The sequence below is a fragment of the Homo sapiens genome, chromosome 7 (genome assembly GCF_000001405.40).
Source record: "Homo sapiens chromosome 7, GRCh38.p14 Primary Assembly".
Classification (NCBI taxonomy): Eukaryota; Metazoa; Chordata; class Mammalia; order Primates; family Hominidae; genus Homo; species Homo sapiens.
The window spans coordinates 44,503,184-44,526,581 of record NC_000007.14 but is presented as its reverse complement, the minus strand read 5'-3'; the positions used below and the strand labels follow the sequence as shown (position 1 = coordinate 44,526,581).

General features: G+C 46.2%; 1 protein-coding gene and 2 pseudogenes across 5 annotated transcripts in view; all 3 read left to right on the top strand.

The window, feature by feature from the left end:
- NPC1L1 (NPC1 like intracellular cholesterol transporter 1) overlaps positions 1 to 14,047 on the top strand; it is a 28,796-nt gene extending 14,749 nt beyond the window's left edge. For 3 of the 5 annotated variants that reach the window (XM_011515326.4, NM_001101648.2, XM_011515328.3), the window contains 9 exons: positions 4,340 to 4,530; positions 4,746 to 4,870; positions 5,464 to 5,590; positions 5,762 to 5,817; positions 9,225 to 9,375; positions 9,648 to 9,879; positions 10,385 to 10,498; positions 10,617 to 10,779; positions 12,933 to 14,047. In XM_011515326.4, the coding sequence (XP_011513628.1) occupies positions 4,340 to 4,530; positions 4,746 to 4,870; positions 5,464 to 5,590; positions 5,762 to 5,817; positions 9,225 to 9,375; positions 9,648 to 9,879; positions 10,385 to 10,498; positions 10,617 to 10,779; positions 12,933 to 13,135 (1,362 nt within the window). In that variant the 3' untranslated portion in view covers positions 13,136 to 14,047. Of the gene's footprint in view, positions 1 to 4,339; positions 4,531 to 4,745; positions 4,871 to 5,463; positions 5,591 to 5,761; positions 5,818 to 7,915; positions 7,997 to 9,224; positions 9,376 to 9,647; positions 9,880 to 10,384; positions 10,499 to 10,616; positions 10,780 to 12,932 lie in introns of those variants that run through there. The other 2 variants (NM_013389.3, XM_047420280.1) reach the window with 2 other exon arrangements.
- Positions 15,229 to 15,610, top strand: RPL36AP27 (ribosomal protein L36a pseudogene 27; annotated as a pseudogene).
- RNU6-1097P (RNA, U6 small nuclear 1097, pseudogene) lies at positions 22,703 to 22,809 on the top strand (annotated as a pseudogene).

Sequence of the window (23,398 nt, the reverse complement as noted above, 5' to 3'; positions counted from 1 at the left end):
TTATTTTTAATTTTTAGTTTTTTTTTTTTTTTTTTGAGATGGAGTCTCACTGTCACCCAGATTGGAGTGCGGTGGTGTGATCTCGGCTCACTGCAACCTCCACCTCCCAGGTTCAAGAGATTCTACTACCTCAGCCTCCAAAGTAGCTGGGATTACAGGTGCATGCCTCCACGCCTGGCTAATTTTTGTATTTTTAGCAGAGATGGGGTCTCACCATGTTAGTCAAGCTGGTCTCAAACTCCTGGCCTCAAATAATCTGTCTGCCTCGGCCTCCCAAAGTGCTGGGATTACAGGCATGAGCCACCATGCCTGGCCTTCTCCCTCATTTTTAAGTGACAGTTTTGCTGGAATTAGGATTCTTCATTGACAATTGTTTTTTCTTCAGCACTTGTTTTTTGTTGTTGTTGTTTGTTTTTGAGACAGAGTCTCACTCTGTCATCCAGGCTGGAGTGCAGTGGCATGATCTCAGCTCACTGCAACCTCTGCTTCTCAGGTTCAAGTGATTCTCCTGCTTCATCCTCCTGAGTAGCTGGGATTACAGGTTTGTGCCACCATGCCTGGCTAATTTTTGTATTTTCAGTAGAGATGGGGTTTTGCCATGTTGGCCAGGCTGGTCTCAAACTCCTGACCTCAGGTGATCCACCTGCCTCAGCCTCCTGAAGTGCTGGGATTACAGGCATGAGCCATCATGCCCAGCATTCTTCAGCACTTTCAATCTACAAACCCACTGCCATCTGGGCTTCAAGGTTTCTGATGAGAAATATGCTGATAATCTTTTTGAGGATCTTTTGTATATGCCAAGTCACTTCTTTTTTTTCAATATTTTCTATTTTTTAAAAAACTTATTTTATTTTACTTTTTATTTTTATTTTTTAGAGGCAGGGTCTTGCTATGTTGCCTAGAATGGACTTGAAACCCTGGGCTCAAGCAATCCTCCCACCTCAGCCTCTTGAGTAGCTGGGACTACAGGTATATGCCACCATGCCTGGCTTGTCTTTGGTTTTTGACAGCTAAATTATAATATCCAGCTGGGTGCAGTGGCTTATGCCTGTAATCCCAGCACTTTGGGAGGCCAAGGTGGGTGGATCACAAGGTCAAGAGATCAAGACCATCCTGGCCAACATGGTGAAACCCCATCTCTACTAAAAATACAAAAATTAGCTGGGCATGGTTGTGCGCACTTGTAGTCCAAGATACTTGGGAGGCTGAGGCAGGAGAATCACTTGAACCCAGGAGGCAGAGGTTGCAGTGAGCCGAGATTGTGCCACTGCACTCCAGCCTGGCAACAGAGCAAGACTCCATCTCAAAAAAAAAAAATTATAATATCCGTTGGTGTGGGTTTCTTTAGTTTATCCTATTGGAGTTTATTGAGTTTCTTGAATGTTTATATTCATGTCTTTCATCAAATTTGGGGAGTTCTGGCCATAATTTTTTCAAATAATCTCACTTCCCCTTTCTCTTTTCTTCTGGAATTCTTACAATTCATATTTTGGTCTATTTGATGATGATGATGTCTGACAGGTCCCTTAGGCTCTGCTCTGTTCACTTTCGTTATTTTTTTTCCTTTCTCTTCTTCAGACTCAGTAATTTCAATGGTCTTATCTTCAGTTTGCTAATTCTTTCTTCTGACTGCTTTTGAATCCCTCTAGTGAATTTTTCATTTAAGTTACTGTACTTTTTAGCTCCAGAGTTTTTTTGCTCTTTTTTATGTTTCCTCCTCATTGATATTTCCATTTTGTTCATAAATTTTTCCTTGACTTTGTTTTCTTTTAGCTCTTTGAGCAACTTTAAGGCAATTGTTTTATTCATTTATTTTATTATTTATTTATTTATTTTTTGAGACAGAGTCTTGCTCTATCACCCAGGCTGGAGTGCAATGGTGTGATCTCGGGTCACTGCAACCTCTGCCTCCTGGGGTTAAGCCTCAGCCTCCCAAGTAGCTGGGATTACAGGTGCCTGCCACCATGCTTGGCTAATTTTTGTATTTTTAGTAGAGACAGGGTTTCACCATATTAGCCAGGCTGGTCTCGAACTCCTGGCCTCATGTGATCTGCCTGCCTTGGCCTTCTGATGTTGTGGGATTACAGGCATCAGCCACTGTGCCTGGCTGAGACAATTGTTTTGAAGTCTTTGTCTAGTAAGTCTGCTGTCTGGTCTTACCCAGGAACAGTTTCTGTTGGTTAATATTTTCCCTTTGAATGGGCCATGTTTTTCTTTTTCTTGGTGTGTTTTTGGTTGAAAAATGGACATTTGATTCTTATAATGTGGTAGCTCTGGAGATCAGATTCTCCTTCTTTCCCAGGGCTTGCTTTATTTTATTTATTGCTGTTGGTGTTTCTGTGCTGGGGATCAGCCAAAGGCACAGAGTTAATGTCTTCTCAGGTATTTTTGAGACTGCATTTTTCTCTGAGCATTTATGCAGTGTGGTGACTGTCTAAATATCCCTATATTTATGGTTGCTTTTGAATGTCCTTGTCCTTATATGTATGGTTCCCAAAAGGAGAAAAAGGGAAAAATGAAGGTGTCGGGGATAGGTGCTTACTCTTTAAATCTCCTGGAAGTCACTTTAGTAAGATGTGGAGGTGGTTGCAACAACGGTGGTGGGAGTTGCATTAGTGGCTGCCTGCCTGTGTATCTGTACCACCAATATCAGAAGTAATGATCAATTATCAGAACTCAGATCCTTGATATTTGAACTTATTTATTTATTTATTAGAGACAGGGTCTGGCTCTCTTGCTGAGGCTGAAGTGCAGTGGTGCAATCATAGGTCACTGCAGCAGCAAACTTCCAGGCTCAAATGATTCTCCTATTTCAGCCTCCTGAGTAGCTAGGACTACAGGCATGTGCCACCACACCCAGCTAACTTTTGTATTTTTTTTTGTAGAGACAGGGTGTCGCTATGTGCCCAGATCGGTCTCCCACTCTTGGGCTCAAGTGACCCTCCTGCTTGCCCTCCCAAAGTTCTGAAATTACAAGTGTAAGCCATCATGCCCAGCTGATATTTGGTGGATGGTGTCCTTGCCTACCTGGCTCCTGCAAGCTGTGTACAAGCTGCTTCTGGAAAGCATACACAGCTGCATGCCTTGAGGCTGGGAGTGGCAAATGGGTAGCTGCTACTGTACTAAAGCTGAGATTGCCTGAAATTAACCACAATTTACTGTCCAAGCCTTATCCTGGAAGCTTCCAGCCCTCAATAGACTCCAGAGTTCCAAAATCGTTACACTAGGGCCGGTGTGGTGGCTCATGCCTGTAATCCCAGCCATTTGGGAGGCCGAGACGGGTGGATCACTTGAGGTCAGGAGTTTGAGACAAGCCTGGCCAACATGGTGAAACCCCATCTCTTTTAAAAATACAAAAATCAGCTGGGAGCGGTGGCACATGCCTGTAATCCTAGCTACTCAGGAGGCTGAGGCACAAGAATCGCTTGAACCCAGGAGGCGGAGGTTGCAGTGAGCAGAGATCGCGCCACTGCACTCCAGCCCAGAAGACTCCATCCATCTCAAAACAAAACAAAACAAAACAAAAACAAAATAGTTATACCAGACAAATTGTTGTCTAGCTGGGGAGAGGGATTCCTGACACTTCCTACTGTGCCATTTTCCCTAATGTCACTCTGAGCCTTTATGTTATAGAAGGGAGCAGACCATGAGGATGCCTGGTGCATGGCTTTGAGGGTGTGCACACTGACATTTATATGTGCACACAAATATGGGCCGTTGTCACAGGCCAGCTTGTTAGACGGTGGCTGTGCCATATTGGGGGTGATAGGAAGGGGTACAATTATGTGTCTGTGCATGTTTGTGTGTGTCAGTGTGTGTTCATGTGAGGTGATAGGTGTTGCTCTGTGTTTGTACCTGCATAAGTGTACTTCTGTTTGCACCTGTGATTATACCTATTCTGTGAACCTTGGAGTATGTTCATCTGGGGGTACACCTAAAACTGTGTTCCGGTGTAACTGTACAGTGCACATACATCTTGAGGGTACCCCTGAGTGTGTGTGTCTGTGCATGTCCTTCTCTATATGTACCTTGTGTGTGACCTCTGAGCATGTACATCTCTGTGTATATTTTGTGTACTTGTGTGCATGTACCTCTGTGTACCTCTAAGCATGTATCTACGTGTATATCTCTGAGTGTCCCACTGAGCACATCCCTTTGAGTGTGTAACTGCATGTGTGTCTCTGAACATGTTCCTCTGTGTGTTCCTCTGATCATGGACCTCTGAACATGTGCCTTTTAGCATGTACCTCTGTGTGTACCTTCGAGAGTGTGAGCTGGATTGAGCCCTTTAGGGGTGTGCATAGCGAACCAAAGCTCACTGACCCTCCTCCACTCCTAGGACTCGTACCTGCTTGACTATTTCCTCTTTCTGAACCGCTACTTCGAGGTGGGGGCCCCGGTGTACTTTGTTACCACCTTGGGCTACAACTTCTCCAGCGAGGCTGGGATGAATGCCATCTGCTCCAGTGCAGGCTGCAACAACTTCTCCTTCACCCAGAAGATCCAGTATGCCACAGAGTTCCCTGAGCAGTGAGTTCCTGGCCCGCCCCAAACCCCAGCCTACTCCCTGTTTGAGTCCCTCCAGTCCTCTCCAGTCCCCTCTTCCTGATGTTCTATCCCTGTCCTGCTGCCCTGCTGCCTTGCTGCCGTATGCCTGGGGAGGGCTGCGTGGGGGTTGGGCCACGAGAAGGACCCACCACCCTGCCCAGCTGGCCTTTTCACCCTTCCTCCCACCTGCCCCTTAGGTCTTACCTGGCCATCCCTGCCTCCTCCTGGGTGGATGACTTCATTGACTGGCTGACCCCGTCCTCCTGCTGCCGCCTTTATATATCTGGCCCCAATAAGGACAAGTTCTGCCCCTCGACCGTCAGTGAGTGTGGGGCCATGGGGACTCACTGTCCACCACAGCTCGGGCAAACTGAGGCAACAGAAAGGAGAGGACTGGAGAGGCTCCCTCAACCTCTCCCACGCATCCTGCAGGGTCTGTCGGGGGCATGGGTGCAGATGTGGCCTGAGGGACAGGCACTCTGTGAGAAGCACCTGTGTGGGTGACCGTGCTGGCCCGTGGGCATCACACATGTATACTGCTGTGTACTGTGCCCCCATTTTCAGAGCACATGGTGCTCCCGGGTGGCAGGGCAGTGGGGAGTCAGGAGGGGAGAGCTGCTGAGGTTAGCACATGGCCCTGCCGCCCAAAGCAGTGGCATTTGTAGGTGGAGAGGCCTTTGTGGGGCCTGTTTTTCTGCCCCAAACTTCCTTTCCCCTTCTGCCTGTAGGTGCCCACAGTTTCTATAGCCAAGAGGAGAACTTCTCCCACAAATGACAAATGCAAATCCCCCTAGAAGCGACTGGTTGAGGCTGGAGTGCCCAGGACCTTTGATGGGATTGTTGGGGAAGGAGGGGCACAAAGCAGGAGCTGCTGGCCCTGGGGTGTCACTGCCCAGACCCCTGCTTTCTCTGCAGACTCTCTGAACTGCCTAAAGAACTGCATGAGCATCACGATGGGCTCTGTGAGGCCCTCGGTGGAGCAGTTCCATAAGTATCTTCCCTGGTTCCTGAACGACCGGCCCAACATCAAATGTCCCAAAGGGTAAGCTTGGGAGGGCCTTCTGCTGGGGAGGACAGACATGTGGGACACAGGATGGGGTTGAATATAGAGAGGCAGGAGGAGGCTATCAGGGGCCTCTCTGGGGTGGCTGTGGGCTGGGCAGATGAAAGAAGCTTCGTCCCTGGCTAAGCCTTTGCCCTGACCTTCTTGCAGCGGCCTGGCAGCATACAGCACCTCTGTGAACTTGACTTCAGATGGCCAGGTTTTAGGTAAGCATGGCCTTGCCTGGAGGGGAGGACATAAATCGGTTGCTCTGGAGGGCCCCCGAAAACCCCAGGGAACAGCCTGTCACATGTTGTCTCCCTCCTTTGTCAGGAGGTTCTCACTGCGCTGGCCCTGTCAGCAGGGGTCTTGTTTCCCAGCTCCACATCTCAGACTTCACCCCTTCTCTCACTCCCAAGTCCATGGTCAGTGCTAAGTTTGTGGAATTGATTCAGCAGTTGATACCATACTTGGGAGTTCTCCACACCCTGGCTAAGCACCTTTCTTACCAGCACAAATTACACCCAAAGGGCAGCTGGTTAAATGAATTAGGATGCTTGGCACAGCACAATCCTAGCAGTCATTTAAAGTAACAAGAGGCTGGGCGCCTGTAATCTTAGCACTCTAGGAGGCCAAGGCGAGAGGATCTCTTGAATCCAGGAGTTTGAGACCAGCCCAGGCAACAGTAGGGAGACCCTCTTTTTTTTTTTTCGAGACGGAGTCTCGCTTTGTTGCCCAGGCTGGAGTGCAGTGGTGCAATCTCGGCTCACTGCAACCTCCACTTTCCGGGTTCAAGCGATTCTCCTGCCTCAGCCTCCTGAGTAGCTGGGACTATAGGAGCATACCATCATGTCTGGGTAATTTTTGTATTTTCAGCAGAGATGGAATTGCACCACGTTGGCCAAGCTGGTCTCAAACTCCTGACCTCAGGTGATATGCCTGCCTTGGCCTCCCAAAGTGCTAGTATTACAGGCATGAGCCACTGTGCCCGGCCTCCTCTACAAAGTAAAATTTAAAAAATTGCCCGGGTGTGGTGGCGTGTGCCTGTAGTTCCAGCTATTCAGAAGGCTGGGCGGGAAGAATGCCTGAGTCTGGGAGGTTGAGGCTGTAGTGAACTGTGATCGCAACACTGCACTCCAGCCTGGGCAACAAAGTGAGACCCTCTCTCAAAAAAAAAAAGAAAGAAAAAAGTAACAAGAGAGATGCAGTTGGACTGACAGGAAAAGGACCCACAACATGCTGTCAGCTTATACAGCAGATGGCAGAACAAGACAGCCATCTGTGTAAAGGAGCTGGCCATAGCTCCGTGCAGACATGCTCGGTGTAGGGGCCCTAAGGGAGCTCGTGCTGGAGATGGACATGGGGGTCGTCGGTGGGTGGGGGAGTTTTTGAAGGATGATCTCACTTTGTACTGAAATAATTCATAGTTTGAACTGCTGGCTGAAAGCTGCCTCAAGTTCGCTCACCCCACCCTTCCAGCTATGAAGTTCCCATGTTTCCAGAAGGGCAATGCACCCTGCCCAGCCCTGGTAGCTGAGCACAACAGGCTCTGTGAGGCCAGTGTGGTGGGGCTGGTGTGGACAGATGGGAGTGGATGTGTCAGTCAGGGAATGAGGAGCAGGGCCTGGAAGGAGCACACAGTAGAGCCAAGCCCCCATAACCGGGGGCAAGTCTGCACCATCTCTGACCTTTGTCTTCTTGTGTGTGCACTAGGTTAGTCTAGAGCAGCACTTCCCAAAATGAGGTCCCCCAGCCAGCAGCATCAGCATAACCTGGAAATTGTTCAAAATGAAGTTCCAGCTAGGTGCTGCAGCTCACGCCTATAATCCCAGTACGTTGGGAGGCCAAGGTGGGAGGATCACTTGAGCCCAGGAGTCTAGTCTGTCTGAGACCAGCCTGGGCAAAAAAGCCAGATATTGAAAGAAAAGAAGAGAGAAGAAAAGGAAAGAAAAGAAAAGAAAAGAAAGAAAGGGAGAAAGAGAGAGAGAGAAAGAGAGAGAAAGAGAAAGAAAGAAAGAAGGAAGGAAGGAAGGAAGAAAAAGAAAGAAAGAAAGAAAAAGAAGAAACGCAAGTTCTCAGCCCTCACCCAAGACTTTGCAGACCCCGAATTGCTGGGCTGGGCTGGGCATTTGTGTGTGAACTACCCTCCAGGTGGTCAGAGGCCTGGTGGGAAGTTCTCCAGGCACCTCCCCTGCTCTGAGATTGTATGTATCCAAGAACATTTCTCTTCTTTTTTCTCCACACCTATGTAGCACTATTGTTTCTTTTTCAGATACACATGCTCACTGTACACAATAAAGAAATAACTTTTTTTTTTTTTTTGAGACACAGTTGCCATTCTGTCACCCAGGCTGGAGTACAGTGGCACAATCTCGGCTCACTGCAACCTCTACCTCCTGGATTCAAGTAATTCTCCTGCCTCAGCCTCCCTAGTAGCTGGGATTACAGGCACATGCCACTATGCTCAGCTAATTTTTGTATTATTAATAGAGGCAGAGTGTCGCCAAGAAACAACCTTTTTGGGCCAGGTGCGGTGGCTCACACCTGTAATCCCAGCAGTTTGGGAGACCGAGGCCGGCGAATCACTTGAGGTCAGGAGTTTGAGACCAGCCTGGCCAACATGGTGAAACCCTGTCTCTACTAAAAATACAAAAATTAGCCAGGCATGGTGGCATGCACCTGTAATCCCAGCTACTTGGGAGGCTGAGGCAGGACAATCACTTGAACCCGGGAAGCAGAAGTTGCAGTGAGCCAAGATCGCACCACTGCACTCCAGCTGCGGTGACAGTGAGACTCTGTCTCGAAAACAAAAACAAGAACAAAAAACCCTTTATTGTATAAAGGTCTTAATAACCTTAATTTCTTCTTTTTTTTTTTTGAGATGGGATCTTGCTCTGTTGCCCAGCTGGAGTGCAGTAGCATGATCTCAGCTCACTGCAGCCTCTGCCTCCTGAGTTCAAGAATTCTCCTGCCTCAGCCCCCCAAGTAGCTGGGATTACAGGGGTGTGCCACCACGCCTGGCTAATTTTTGCATTTTTAGTAGAGACAGGGTTTCACCATGTTGGGCAGGCTGGTCTTGAACTCCTGACCTCAGGTGATCGACCTGCCTTAGCCTTCCAAAGTGCTGGGATTACAGGCATGAGCCACCACACCCGGCCAATAACCTTAATTTCTTAAAAGTCATTAAGAAATAACCTTTATCTGGCAGGAGCCCTAAGCCACAGCTCTAATAATCCAACCGTTCTCATTTTTCTGTCTTCCTTTCTAGTCCTTTCCTATAGGAATATGCAAATTAAAAACCAATTAAGTTAATTTTAAAAATCCAATGCATATCTTGAAACCATACAGAGAAGAATCTCGGTTCACTAGGGAGATCTCTGTAGGCTTCACTCATCAAAGGTCAGGCCTGGGTCTCCCACAGCAGTGGGGCCAGCTATGGAGTTTGCAGGGCTGGTGCAAAACAAAAATATGGGCCTCTTGCACAAAATTTACTAAGAATTTCAAATGGTGGTGGCAGAGCCCTGAACCCCGCTTGATCACATGCCTGTGCCACTGCGTCTGCGGTGTTCTGAAGTTGTCCTGGAAAGGGCTCTGACCTTTGCCCTTCCATCTTCTGTGTGCCATGGCTGTCCAGCCTCCAGGTTCATGGCCTATCACAAGCCCCTGAAAAACTCACAGGATTACACAGAAGCTCTGCGGGCAGCTCGAGAGCTGGCAGCCAACATCACTGCTGACCTGCGGAAAGTGCCTGGAACAGACCCGGCTTTTGAGGTCTTCCCCTACACGTGAGGACCTGAGTGGCTGGGCTGGAGGGAGGTGGGGTATGGTTGCTGGAGACTGGAGGTTAGGGTGGAGGGCTTGCAAGGAGTTGCATGAGATGAGGACCAGTTTTAGGTCAGGAGGCTCTGGCTGCAGCCTTGGGCCTATTTCTTAGGCTGGTTTGTACCCCAATATAAGCCTGCCTGACCCTCAGCATTCTCCTTCTGAAGTGGGGTGTCCCACCCACCATGAGGGCCCCAGAGGCCTGAGCCTGTGACCATGCTCTGTGCTCTGGCAGGATCACCAATGTGTTTTATGAGCAGTACCTGACCATCCTCCCTGAGGGGCTCTTCATGCTCAGCCTCTGCCTTGTGCCCACCTTCGCTGTCTCCTGCCTCCTGCTGGGCCTGGACCTGCGCTCCGGCCTCCTCAACCTGCTCTCCATTGTCATGATCCTCGTGGACACTGTCGGCTTCATGGCCCTGTGGGGCATCAGTTACAATGCTGTGTCCCTCATCAACCTGGTCTCGGTAACCCAGCAGACACAGGCACCAGGGGGCCTCTGGAGGGGTGGTTGGGGATCCAGCCTCATAGAATACTCCTAGTTCTTTTTTGTTTCTTTTTTTAGAGGCAGGGTCTTGCTCTGTTGCTCAGGCTTGAGGGCAGTGACATGATCACAGCTCACTGTAGCCTCGAACCCTTGGGCTCAAGCGATCCTCCTACCTCAGCCTCCAAAGTAGCCAGGACTACAGGCACGTGCCACTGCGTCCAGCTAATATTTTAATTTTTGTTGTAGAGACAGGGTCTCACTTTGTTGCCCAGGCTGGTCTCAAACTCCTGGGCTCAAGTGATCCTCTCACCTCGGCCTCCCAAAGTGTTGGGATTATAGGCATGAGCCACTGCACCCGGCCAAATACTCCCAGTTCTGTCTAGAATCTAGATGCCTGCCCCACGCTGGTCCTGGTGGAGGCCTCATCTCCCTAGTTCCTTCCCCACCTCTGCCTTTCTTGGCTTATGCCCCCTCTCTGCCCATAGGCGGTGGGCATGTCTGTGGAGTTTGTGTCCCACATTACCCGCTCCTTTGCCATCAGCACCAAGCCCACCTGGCTGGAGAGGGCCAAAGAGGCCACCATCTCTATGGGAAGTGCGGTGAGTGGAGAGGAGTGGGCCACCCTGTGCCCCACTCGACACCCTGTGCCCTGCCTGATGCCCTGTGCCCTGCCTGATGCCCTGTGCCCTGCCTGACACCTGGCTCTGAACCCCCCAGGTGTTTGCAGGTGTGGCCATGACCAACCTGCCTGGCATCCTTGTCCTGGGCCTCGCCAAGGCCCAGCTCATTCAGATCTTCTTCTTCCGCCTCAACCTCCTGATCACTCTGCTGGGCCTGCTGCATGGCTTGGTCTTCCTGCCCGTCATCCTCAGCTACGTGGGTGAGTGCCCAGGCCTGTTCCTACCAGACTGTCATGATTATGCTGACGACAACAGTAACAGTGCATGCTCACCACAAAAGCTCAGGAAGTGCAAACGAGCCATGGGCAGATGTCAGAAGCCAGGACTATGACCATGTGGCAATTCTGTCTTGGAAGCTACTATTATTCATTTAATGTGCTGTGAACATCTTTTTTTGTCAGCTATGTATGTCTCAAACAACGTTTCTGTGGCCCTGTACACTGTGGATCTTCACTGCACTGCTGTTGGACTTTTAAGCATGCCCTTCAGCAAGAAATATATTTTACACAGAGAGGTGACATGCACGGGCACACATAGACATGCCTGCCTAAAACAAATGCTTCACTAAATAATATTAATACTTCCTTTATACATGTGAAGCATTCTGATATTGCTGGTTCCATTCTATTATTATTATTAATATTTTTTGGAGACAGGGTCTTGCTCTGACACCCAGGCTGGAGTGCAGTAGCATGATCACAGCTCACTGCCACCTTGACTTCCCAGGCTCAAGTGATCCTCCCACCTCAGCCTCCCGAGTAGCTGGGACCACAGGTGCACACCACCATGCCCAGCTAATTTTTTATTTTTTGTAGAGATGGGGTCTCCCTATGTTGCCCAGGCTGGTCTCAAACTCCTGAGCTCAAGTGATCCACCATGGCCTTCCACAGTGCTAGGATTACAGGTGTGAGCCACTGCGCTTGGCTTTTATTTTACTTTAAATTTGTTATTTATTTTATTTTACTTTACATTATTTTATTTTTATTTTTTGAGATGGAGTCTCGCTCTGTTGCCCAGGCTGGAGTGCAGTGGTATGATCTCAGCTCCCTGCAACCTCTGCCTCCCAAGTTCAAGCCATTCTCCTGCTTTAGCCTCCCAAGTAGCTGGGATTACAGGTGCGCACCACCACGCCTGGCCAATTTATTTATTTATTTTTTATTTTTAGTAGAGACGGGGTTTCACCATGTTGGGCAGGCTGGTCTCGAACTCCTGACCTCAGGTGATCCAACCGCCAAGGCCTCCCAAAGTGCTGGGATTACAGGCGTGAGCCACTGTGCCCAGCCCTATCATTAATTTGTTTTTAATTATTTTAATTATTTTTATTTTTATTATTTTTAGACAGAGTCTCTCTCTGTTGCCCAGGCTGGAGTGCAGTGGCGCAATCTCAGCTCACTGCAACCTCTGCCTCCTGGGTTCAAGCGATTCTCCTGTCTCAGCCTCTCGAGTAGCTGGGATATCGGTGTATGCCACCATACCTGGCTAATTTTTGTATTTTTATTGGAGACAGGTTTCACCATGTTGGTCAGGCTGGTCTCGAACTCCTGTGGCCTCAGGTGATCCATCTGCCTTGGCCTCCCAAAGTGCAGGGATTACAGGCGTGGGCCACCGCACCCGGTCTCATTAATATTTTGAAATGCTGGCCAGGAGTGGTGGCTCATGTTTGTAATCCTAGCACTTTGGGAGGCTGAGGCACATGGAAGCTCAAATTGAGCCTCCCAGGATGAAGGTGTTTCTGGCTCTCAGGGTGGGCAAGCTGGGAGGAGTTCAATTTTACCTCCCACCAGATGGTAATAATATTATTAGAGGACATTTATAGAGGGGTGTGTTTGTGCATCAACATATGTGTCTGTAATTCTCTTACTACCCCCGAGGCAGGTATTATTATCCTTCCCATTTTACAGATGAGGGAACTGAGACACCTGCCCCAGGTTACAGACTTGGTCAAAGGTAGTAGGGGTTGGAGCCCACACAGCTCTGTGGTTCCTAACCATGTCTCTTGTGGGGACTCCCTGACCCTCTTGGAAGGAGTAGAGTGTGTGCGCTGGGGGTGGTGGATGAGACATAAGAGAGGGGCAAGGAGGAGCAGTCGTGGGGTGTGCTTGGACAAAGGATATCCAGGGCCTTGGAGCTGCAGGTGGTGGCTATTCCTTGGAGGTTCCCAAAATGCTTGGGGGATGGAGGGACCAGGACATCCCTGAAGCTTGGGCTGTGAACATAGTGACCCTGGAAGGCACATGGCACAGATCCCCCCTGGGACCCTTCCTGCCCTGGGTTTGTTGTACAGAACCAGGAATAGCTTCTCACCTGTGTCCCCTGCCCACCTCTCTGACTGTGGTTCTCTGTCTCTCCGCAGGGCCTGACGTTAACCCGGCTCTGGCACTGGAGCAGAAGCGGGCTGAGGAGGCGGTGGCAGCAGTCATGGTGGCCTCTTGCCCAAATCACCCCTCCCGAGTCTCCACAGCTGACAACATCTATGTCAACCACAGCTTTGAAGGTTCTATCAAAGGTGCTGGTGCCATCAGCAACTTCTTGCCCAACAATGGGCGGCAGTTCTGATACAGCCAGAGGCCCTGTCTAGGCTCTATGGCCCTGAACCAAAGGGTTATGGGGATCTTCCTTGTGACTGCCCCTTGACACACGCCCTCCTCAAATCCTAGGGGAGGCCATTCCCATGAGACTGCCTGTCACTGGAGGATGGCCTGCTCTTGAGGTATCCAGGCAGCACCACTGATGGCTCCTCTGCTCCCATAGTGGGTCCCCAGTTTCCAAGTCACCTAGGCCTTGGGCAGTGCCTCCTCCTGGGCCTGGGTCTGGAAGTTGGCAGGAACAGACACACTCCATGTTTGTCCCACACTCACTCACTTTCCTAGGAGCCCACTTCTCATCCAACTTTTCCCTTCTCAGTTCCTCTCTCGAAAGTCTTAATTCTGTGTCAGTAAGTCTTTAACACGTAGCAGTGTCCCTGAGAACACAGACAATGACCACTACCCTGGGTGTGATATCACAGGAGGCCAGAGAGAGGCAAAGGCTCAGGCCAAGAGCCAACGCTGTGGGAGGCCGGTCGGCAGCCACTCCCTCCAGGGCGCACCTGCAGGTCTGCCATCCACGGCCTTTTCTGGCAAGAGAAGGGCCCAGGAAGGATGCTCTCATAAGGCCCAGGAAGGATGCTCTCATAAGCACCTTGGTCATGGATTAGCCCCTCCTGGAAAATGGTGTTGGGTTTGGTCTCCAGCTCCAATACTTATTAAGGCTGTTGCTGCCAGTCAAGGCCACCCAGGAGTCTGAAGGCTGGGAGCTCTTGGGGCTGGGCTGGTCCTCCCATCTTCACCTCGGGCCTGGATCCCAGGCCTCAAACCAGCCCAACCCGAGCTTTTGGACAGCTCTCCAGAAGCATGAACTGCAGTGGAGATGAAGATCCTGGCTCTGTGCTGTGCACATAGGTGTTTAATAAACATTTGTTGGCAGAAATGGTGTTTTATGTCACATGTCCTACCCTGGCTTCCTCCTCTCGGTTTAAGATAATTTTTGTGAATGACACAAATAATACATGTGTGGGAGAGTGATTTGTGGAGATACTAGTCTGTGTTTTGTTCTATTTCTCCTCCCTCTTTTCAAGAAAGTAGCCAGGCCATTGTGTGCTCATGCCTTACAAGGGCCTTTGAGGAGTGGGAGTAATTTCTCTTCAAACTGGGAGGGCACAGAGCCTGAGAGTCAGTCAGGAGTAGGATGTGCAGCCCCTCCTTTTCTGGAAGAGACTGTGAAGTAGGCAACACCTGGAGGAGCTACAGGAGAACCACGGTGCATTCAAGGAGGGAAGAACCCACCGTACAAACAACCAGCTCCCAGGAGGGCCCCAGGCCAGGGCAGTGGGTGGAAATGTCAAGGAACATTCCAGATCCCCTCGAGTCTTTCTGCCCCATGCTGGGTCCAGCCCTTGTTTGGCTGAGGGGCTGCTGTTGCTTTGAGGCTCAGAGGGACTGTCAGCATGTAAAGGGAAGACAAGCAAAAAGGGGTGGAAAGGAGCTGGCGTTTCTGGAGCCTACTATCTACTTTTGGGTCCTCATAAGAGCCCCATGTGCCAGCATCATTAGCCCACCTTTGGGAGGGTTGCTGGCTGACCATGATGGACAGGAGGTTTGGTGAAGGGACAGCTACGAGGGAATAGAGGCTGAGGAGAAATCGCACAATTCACCCTGTTAAAAACTCCACAGGTGCAGAATAAACAGATAGATTTGAGGAACAAAATAGCTTTTGACAGCAGACATTTCAAATCAGAGGAAAGGGTAGATCCTTCAGTAAACGGTGTGAGAGTAGTGAGCAAATTATTTGGATCAAAATAAAGTTATATCTATACTTCACACAATACACAAAATAAAAGTACAGACAGATTAAAGCACTAAACACAAAAATGAAACTATACAACTATCGGAAGGAAACACAGAAGAGTATGTTATAATCTTGGAGGGGGAAAAGTTTCCTAAGCACAAAGTCCAGAAGCCATAAAGGTAAACACTAAGGTATGACCATATAATAATGGAAAACATCTGAAAACACACAAAAAATTAAAGAAAGTTGAAAGACACATATGAGCTCAGAAAAATAGTTGCAACATATTTAACAGCAAATAAAATCAAGAAAACACAAAGAGTGCCAATAGTGCTCCTGCAAACATGGTGAACACTCCTAAAACCCACTGGACTTTCTGTAAGAAGTGTGGGAAGCACCAGCCCCACAGAGTGACACAGGACACATTTCCCTGTATGCCTAGGGAAAGCCATGTTATGACAGGAAGCAGAGGGGCTATGGTGGGGAGACTAAGCCAATTTTCCAGAAAAAGGCTAAAACTACAAAGAAGATTGTGCTAAGTTTTGAGTGCATGAAGCCCAACTGCAGATCTAAGAGAATGCTGGCTATTAAGAGATACAAGCATTTTGAACTGGGAGGAGGTAAGAAGAGCAAGGGCCAAGTGATCCAGTTCTAAGTGTCATCTTTTGTTTTATTATGAAGACAATAAAATATTGAGTTTATGTTTAAAAAAAAAAAGAATATACAAAGAGAGTCCAGGTACGGTGGCTCATGCCTGTAATCCCAGCACTTTGGGAGGCTGAGGCAGGAGAATTGCTTGAGGCCAGGAGTTCAAGACCAGCCTAGGCAACATAGCGAGATACTGTCTCTACAAAAAGTTTAAAAGTTAGCCAGGCTAGCTATTTGGAAGGCTGAGGTGGGAGGATTGTTTCAGCTCGAGTTTGAGGCTGCAGTGAGCTATGATGGCACCACTGTACTCCAGCCTGAGTGAAAGAGTGAGCTTCTGTCTCAACAAAAAAAAAAAAAAAAAAGAATATACAAAGAGAGGAAGGAGTGCAGGGGGGAGGTCTGGGTTATGTGGCTAACCTTCCCATTAGAAACAAGACATTCTAGCTAAAATAAATCTTAGCCGTGTGTGTGTGTGTATGTGTCTGTGTGTGTGTATGATGCATACAAGTTTAGGGTGTTTTAACCTTCTTGATAAATTGAGACTTTTATAGTTTGAAATGACTATAAAAATATCCCTTTTTATCTCTAGTATTTATTTTTGTCTGTTTAAGAGATGGGGTTCTCACTTTGTTGCCCAGGCTGGTCTTGAATACTTGGCCTCAAGGGATCCTCCTACCTCAGCCTCCCAAGTACCTGGAATTACAGGTATGAGCCACCATGCCAGTCCTATCTGTAGTATTTGTTCAACTGTATAATGTTATTATACACACACACACACACACACACACACACACACAGACACACACACACATATAAAATAACATACGGTTGAACAAATTTTATACTTAATAGTCAAACATTGAAACCCTTTCCCCTGAGATTGGGAATGAGACAAAGTTGCCCACTTTTACCCAACATTGCACTGGAGGTCTTAGCCATTGTAATAAGGCAAGAAAAAGAAACTAAGTTTATAAGGATTAGAAATAAATAAAATTGACATCATTCACAGATAACATAAATATGTATAAAAAAGATTCAGTCTGGGTGCAGTGGCTCATGCCTGTAACCCCAGCAATTTCTGAGGCCAAGGCAGGAGGATCACTTGAGGCCAGGAGTTCAAGACATAGCAAGACCCCACCTCTACAAAAAAAAATTTTTTTTAAAGATCCAAAAGAATCTATATATAAACTATTGGAATTACTCTAACAAAAGGTGGTCAAGAAAACTATGAAAAATAATAACTTTGTATTTTAATTTGTATAATATTGAGAGAAATTAACTGTCAAAAGAAATGGAGGAATATACCATGAATTGAGGGCTCTATACTACAGAGATGTCAATTCTCTTCAAATTAATTACTAGTTTCACTGTAATTTCAATAATAACCCCAGAAAATTTTTTGTGGAAACTGATAAGCTGATTCAAAAATTCATATAGAACCACAAAAGATGAAAATTCACGAAAGCAATCTTGAAGAAAAACAAAGTCAGAGAACTTACACTACTAGAAATCAAGATAATATAAATATATAGAAATAAAGATAGTGAGATTTTGGCACAAGGAAGAACAAATAGAAAAATGGAAAGAATAGAAAGTCCAGAAACAGATGATACCCACAAGGACACATGATTTATGATGGAGGAGGCATGCAGAGCATTGGGTAAAGGAGGTTTTTCAATGTAGGATGCTGACCTAGTTGGGTATCCACACAGAAAGAAATGAATCATGACCCTCTCCCCCAAGATACACAAAAATCAGTTCCTGATAGATTGTCAATCTAAATGTGAAAGATAAAATGATAGAGTTCTAAAAGGTAACATAAAAGAGTATCCCCAAGACTGAAATAGGAAAAACTTTTCTTAGGAAACAAAAGCCTTACTTATAGAGAAAAAGATTGATAAATTGAACTGTATTGGAATAAAAAAAAACTTCTGTTCTTCAAAAGACATCCTTAGGAAAGATAAAATTCAAACCATAGAGAGGAAAAGATATTTGCACATATCTGAAATACACACATATCTGAGAAAGGGCCTGTGCTTAGAATGCATAAAAAATCTCCTACAACTCAGCAAGAAAAAGACAGACAACCAAAAGAAAAGCTAGGCTGGCTACTCAAATAAGCAAATGGCCAATACAAGTTCCTCAATTTTGTCAGTCACCAGAGCAAGGCTGAGTAAAAGCACAGTGAGAGTTCTTCCTCTTCTCTTCCCTCACAATTTGGCCTACAGGCCATGGGGTAAGGTGGGGCCAGGCAGCACATGTGGGGTGTCAGAATCCAGGTGGTGTGGGGAGCGTTTCCACATTGGATCTGAGGGAGGAGAGGAGGGCATTCCACACAGAATAGGAACTACATAGGCCCAGTATGGGGCTAAGATGTCAGAACTGAGCTCTGATGTGCCTTTCTCCATGAGCAGAGGGACTGGATGCTGGAGATGGAGGGTGGAGGAAAGGTTCAGAGCCATCTAGAGATGGCAATTCAGAGGAAATGGGAGGGCAGATAGTCTCACTCTTCACAGTGAGGCAGAGTTTCCAAGCTGGTTTTGTCACTCCTTTGCTGGGCCTCTTTGGGTAACATATTTGACTTATCTGGGCTTTAGTTTCTTTTTTGCTTTTTTTTTTTTTTGAGACAGAGTCTCACTCTGTTGGCCAGGCTGGAGTGCACTGGTGTGATCTTAGCTCACTGCAACCTCTGCCTCCCGGGTTTGAGTGATTCTCCTGCCTCAGCCTCCCGAGTAGCTGCAACTACAGGCGCCTGCCACCATGCCTGGCTAATTTTTGTATACAGATAGGGTTTTGCCATGTTGACCAGGCTGGTCTTGAACTCCTGACCCGAGGTGATATGCCTGCCTCAGCCTCCCAAATTGCTAGGATTACAGGTGTGAGCCACCACACCTGGCATGGGTTTGGTTTCTTTACCTGTAAAAACTGGGATAGTTTAGCTGGGCACAGTGATGCTAATTGTTGTCCCAGCTACTTGAGAGGCTGAGATGGGAGGATCACTTGAGCCTAAGAATCGCAGGTCAGCCTGGGCAACATAGCAATACCCCATCTGTGAAAAAAAAAATTAGTGGCTGAGCACAGTGGCTCACTCCAGCAATCCCAGAACTTTGGGAGGCCAAGGTGGGAAGATTACTTGAGCCCAGGAGTTTGAAACTGGTCTGGGAAACACACAGAGACCACAATCTCTGCATTAAAAAAAAAATTAGCTGGGTTGGTGGCACTCACCTGTGGTCCCAGCTACTTGGGAGGGTGAGGTGGGAGGATAATTTGATCCCAGGAAGTGGAGGCTGCAGAGAGCTGTGATCATGCCACTGCACTCCAGCCTGGGTCACAGAGTGAGACCCTGTCTCAAAAAAAAAAAAAAAAATTAGGAAAATTTGCCCTGACTCCCCACGTTTTTTTTAAAGGATGAAATGAGATATTATATGTGAAAGCATCTAGTACTTGTGACATAGTAGGTGCTTAAAAAGTGTTTCCACTTCACTTCTGCCTAAAACCCAGTTCAGTTCCTGAGTTCCAGATATCTAACTGTGATGAGAAGAGACGCAGCCAGAGGTACCTCAAAGATAGCAACACCCCCCTCCGCCCCGATACCTGATGTACTGAAGTCAGAAATTTAAAAAAAAACCTTGTTCTTCCTTCAGTTTTAAGTTCAGTATACTGATGAACTATCGGTCACATTTGACGATTTACTTTAAAAATAAACAGGCTTCCAAATTAACCTACTTATATGGTTTGTCTGTGTCGCCACCCAAATCTCATCTTGAATTCCCACCCGTTGTGGGAGGGACCTGGTGGGAGGTAATTAAATCATGGGGGCAAGTCTTTCCTGTGCTGTTCTCGTGATAGTGAATAAGTCTCAAGAGATCTGATGGTTTTAAAAAGAGGAGTTCCCTTGCACAAGCTCTCTCTCTTTGCCTGCTGCCATCCATGTAGGATGTGACTTGCTCTTCCTTGCCTTCCACCATGATTGTGAGGCTTCCCCAGCCACATGGAACTGTAACTCCAATTAAACCTCTTTCTCTTGTAAATTGCCCAGTCTAGGCTATGTCTTTATCAGCAGTGTGAAAACAGACTAATATACTTACCTTGGAAAGGCCTTGTGATCCATGGTGACATCTTGTCCCTAAGGAAAGCATCTTACCATGAGTTCCTCAAATTGTTGATGTACTGATTAATGTGTAACCCTCTGACACTGGGAAGAACACTGATTTATTTCTGAATCATAAAGTTTTATTGATTGTCTTGCATGTAGACATTTTAGCTTGTATGTTGCAATCTGTATCCAACAATTGTAACCTCTGTATTGTACCCTCAAATGAAAGAGGAAAAAACTCTTGTATGAGGAGTCCCCTCCCTTCTCCTAAACTTTCCTATAAAAGCCTTCTACCTTGTAACAGACTGGAACATTCCTAACATTGTTGGTGTGTTTCCTAAGCGGATTCTCACATTTGGCTTCAAATAAACCTTGATCAAATTAGTGCTGCCTCAACAGCCTTAATTTCAATCAATAGTACAAGCCTCTGTTTTTCTATTTAATCACTACTTTAAAGGTAACCTTTGGAAAATATTTAGGCTCTTTACAAATTTAATTAATTGAACATATTTTAACTGCATTTATAAAGGTAATAGTCTCCATTTTCTTCCTAAATACTCTGCATAAGAAACAAAATCTTCCCATATACTTAACTCTTTTAAACCTAATAAATTAAATTTATGGAATATCATTAATATAAAGTTTTTATAGATGTTGTAACACTGCACATAGATTTAGCAACATTTCAATTTACAATCTTAAGCTTATATGAAATACCATTTTAAATTGGAATTATACAATTCTTACACTAATAGACCAAATACTTTAAATGTTACAAGCATATAAAATACGAAATATACAAAAATTTCCCCCCATCACACAAATATTCTTACTAAGGTTTTGCTTCTTTGAAACCTTTCTATACACATTGTATTAGTCTGTTTTCATGCTGCTAATAAAGACATACCCCAGACTGGGTAATTTATAAAGGAAAGAGTTTTAATTGACTTATAGTTCAGCATGGCTGGGGAGGCCTCAGGAAACTTACAATCATGGCAGAGGGGGAAGCAAACATGCCCTTCTTCATATGGCACCAGTGGAGAGAAGAATCAGTGCCCAGTGAAAGGGGAAGCCCCTTATAAAACCAGCAGATCTCGTGAGAACTAAATCACTACCACAAGAACAGGATGGGGGAAACCGCTCTCATGATTCAACGATCTCCACCTGGTCCCTCCCACAACACATGGGGATTATGCAAACTGCAAGTCAAGATGAGATTTGGGTGGGGACACAGTCAAAACCTATCAACCTAACATCCTTTTCCTCTCCCCTTCCTTCCTTCCTCCCTTCCTTCCTTCCTTCCTTCCTTCCTTCCTTCTTTCCTTCCCTCCCTCCCTCCCTCCCCCTCTCTCTCTTTTTTTCTTTTTCTTTTCTTTCTTTCTCTCTCTCTCTCTCCCTCCCTCCCTCCCAGGCTGGAATGCAGTGGTGCGATCTCGGCTCACTGCAACCTCTGCCTCCCAGGGTTAAGCTATCCTCCCACCTCAGCCTCCTGAGTAACTGGTGGGACTACAGGCGTGTGACACCACACCCAGCTGATGTTTTTGTATTTTTAGTGGAGATGGGGTTTCAGTATGTTGTCCAGGCTGTCCATACCCATTTTTAAGTGAGTTATAAATGGGGTTCAAAGGTCATACTCCCCTTGAGGAAGACAATCATCATCTCAGATAACCAAGGTTGCCTATGCAGTAAGGAAGAAGTAAGTCATCATTCCGGGTAACTAAATTTACCTAAGACCAAAGACATCAGCTGAGAGTGAGACCTGGAGTCTCAGGCATCGGGAGTAGTTATCTCACTGCTAACTAAGTTTACATGGTGAGTCAAAAGACCCAGAATACCCAACACAATATTGAAGGAAAACAAAGTCAGAGGACTAACACTATCTGACTTCTAGACTTACTATAAAGTTATAGTAATGAAGACAGTGAAAGAACTGGTAAAGAACAGATAAATAAATCACTGTAACAGAATATAGAGTCTAGAAATAGACCCAAATAAATATAGTGAAGCAAAGGTAGACTTTTTTTTTTTTTTTTTTTTTTTGAGACAGAGTCTCTCTCTGTCACCCAGGCTGGAGTGCACTGGTATGATCTTGGTTCAATGGGACCTATACCTTTACCATGAGAATCACTGGGTTCAAGTGATTCTCATGCCTCAGTGTCCTGCATAGCTGGGACTAAAGGCCTGCAAACATGCCTGGCTAATTTTTGCATTTTTAGTAGAGATGGGGTTTCACCATGTTGGCTAGGCTGGTCTCAAAGTCCTGACCTCAGGTGATCCACCCGCCTTGGCTTCCCAAAGTGCTGGGATTACAGGTGTGAGCCACCATACCCAGCCAAAGGGCAGTCTTTCCAACAAATGATACAGATACAACTGGACATCTATGTGCAAAAACATAAATTTAGACACAGACTTTGCACCCTTCACAAAAACTAACTGAAAATGGATCATAGACCTCAATGTAAAATTCAAAACTATAAAACTCCTAAAAGACAACATAGGGTAAAACCTAGATGACCTTGGGTGTAGCGACCTTTTGATACAACACCAAAGACATAATCCATGAAATAAATAACTGATAAACTGTAATTAATAAATTTTTTTTAGCAGTAATAGAATGATGAGTGTTATTTCATTAAAATTTAAAACTTCTGCTCTGCAAAAGACAATGTCAAGAAGAAGAAGACAATGGCCAAGTGCGGTGGCTTATGCCTTTAATCCTAGCACTTTGGAAGGCCAAGGCGGGTGGATCACTTGAGGCCAGGAGTTTGAGACCAGCCTGGCTAACATGGTGAAAACCTGTCTCTACTAAAAATAGAAAAATTAGCTGGGCGCAGTGGTGCACACCTGTAATCCCAGCTACTTGACAGGCTGATGCACAAGAATCGCTTGAACCCAGGAGGCAGAGGTTGCAGTGAGCTGAAATTGTGCCACTGTACTCCAGCTTGGGCAACAGAGCGAGACTCTGTCTCAAAAAATATATAAATAAATAAAATTTAAAAAGGATGAGAAGACAAGCCACTGCCTGGGAGAAGATATTAGCGAAAGACACATCTGTGCTGGCTTCAGCAGCACACATACTAAAATTACAATGGTACAGAGAAGATTACCATGGCCTGTGCACAAGGATGACATGCACATTTGTGAAGTGCTTCAGAATATAAAAAAGAAAAAGATCTATCCGATAAAGAACTTTTATTTAAAATCTAAATGGACTCTCCAATACAATAATAAGAAAACAAATAACTCAATTAAAAACTTAGCCTTACCAAAGAAGATGTACAGATGGCAAACAAGCATATGAAAAGATGCTACATGTCATATATCATCAGGGAAATGATAATTAAAACAACAATGTGATACTGCTACACATCTATTAGAATGTCCAAAATCTGGAACACTGACAACATCAAATGCTGGTAGGGATGTGGAGAAGCAGCAACTCTCCTTCATTACTGATAGGAATGCAAAATGGTACAGCCACTTTGGAAGACAGTTCTTCAGTTTCTTCTAAAACTAAATATATCTTACCATATGATCCAGCAATCACATTTCTTGGTATGTACCCAATGGAGTTGAAAACTTATGTCTACACAAAAACCAACACATGGGTGTTCATGGCAGCCTTATTCATAATTGTCAAAACTTGGAAGTAACCAAGATGTCCTTCAGTAGGTGAATGGGTTAATCCCCACAATGGAATATTATTCAGCATTAAAAACAAATGAGCTATCAAGCTAAGCTATGAAAAG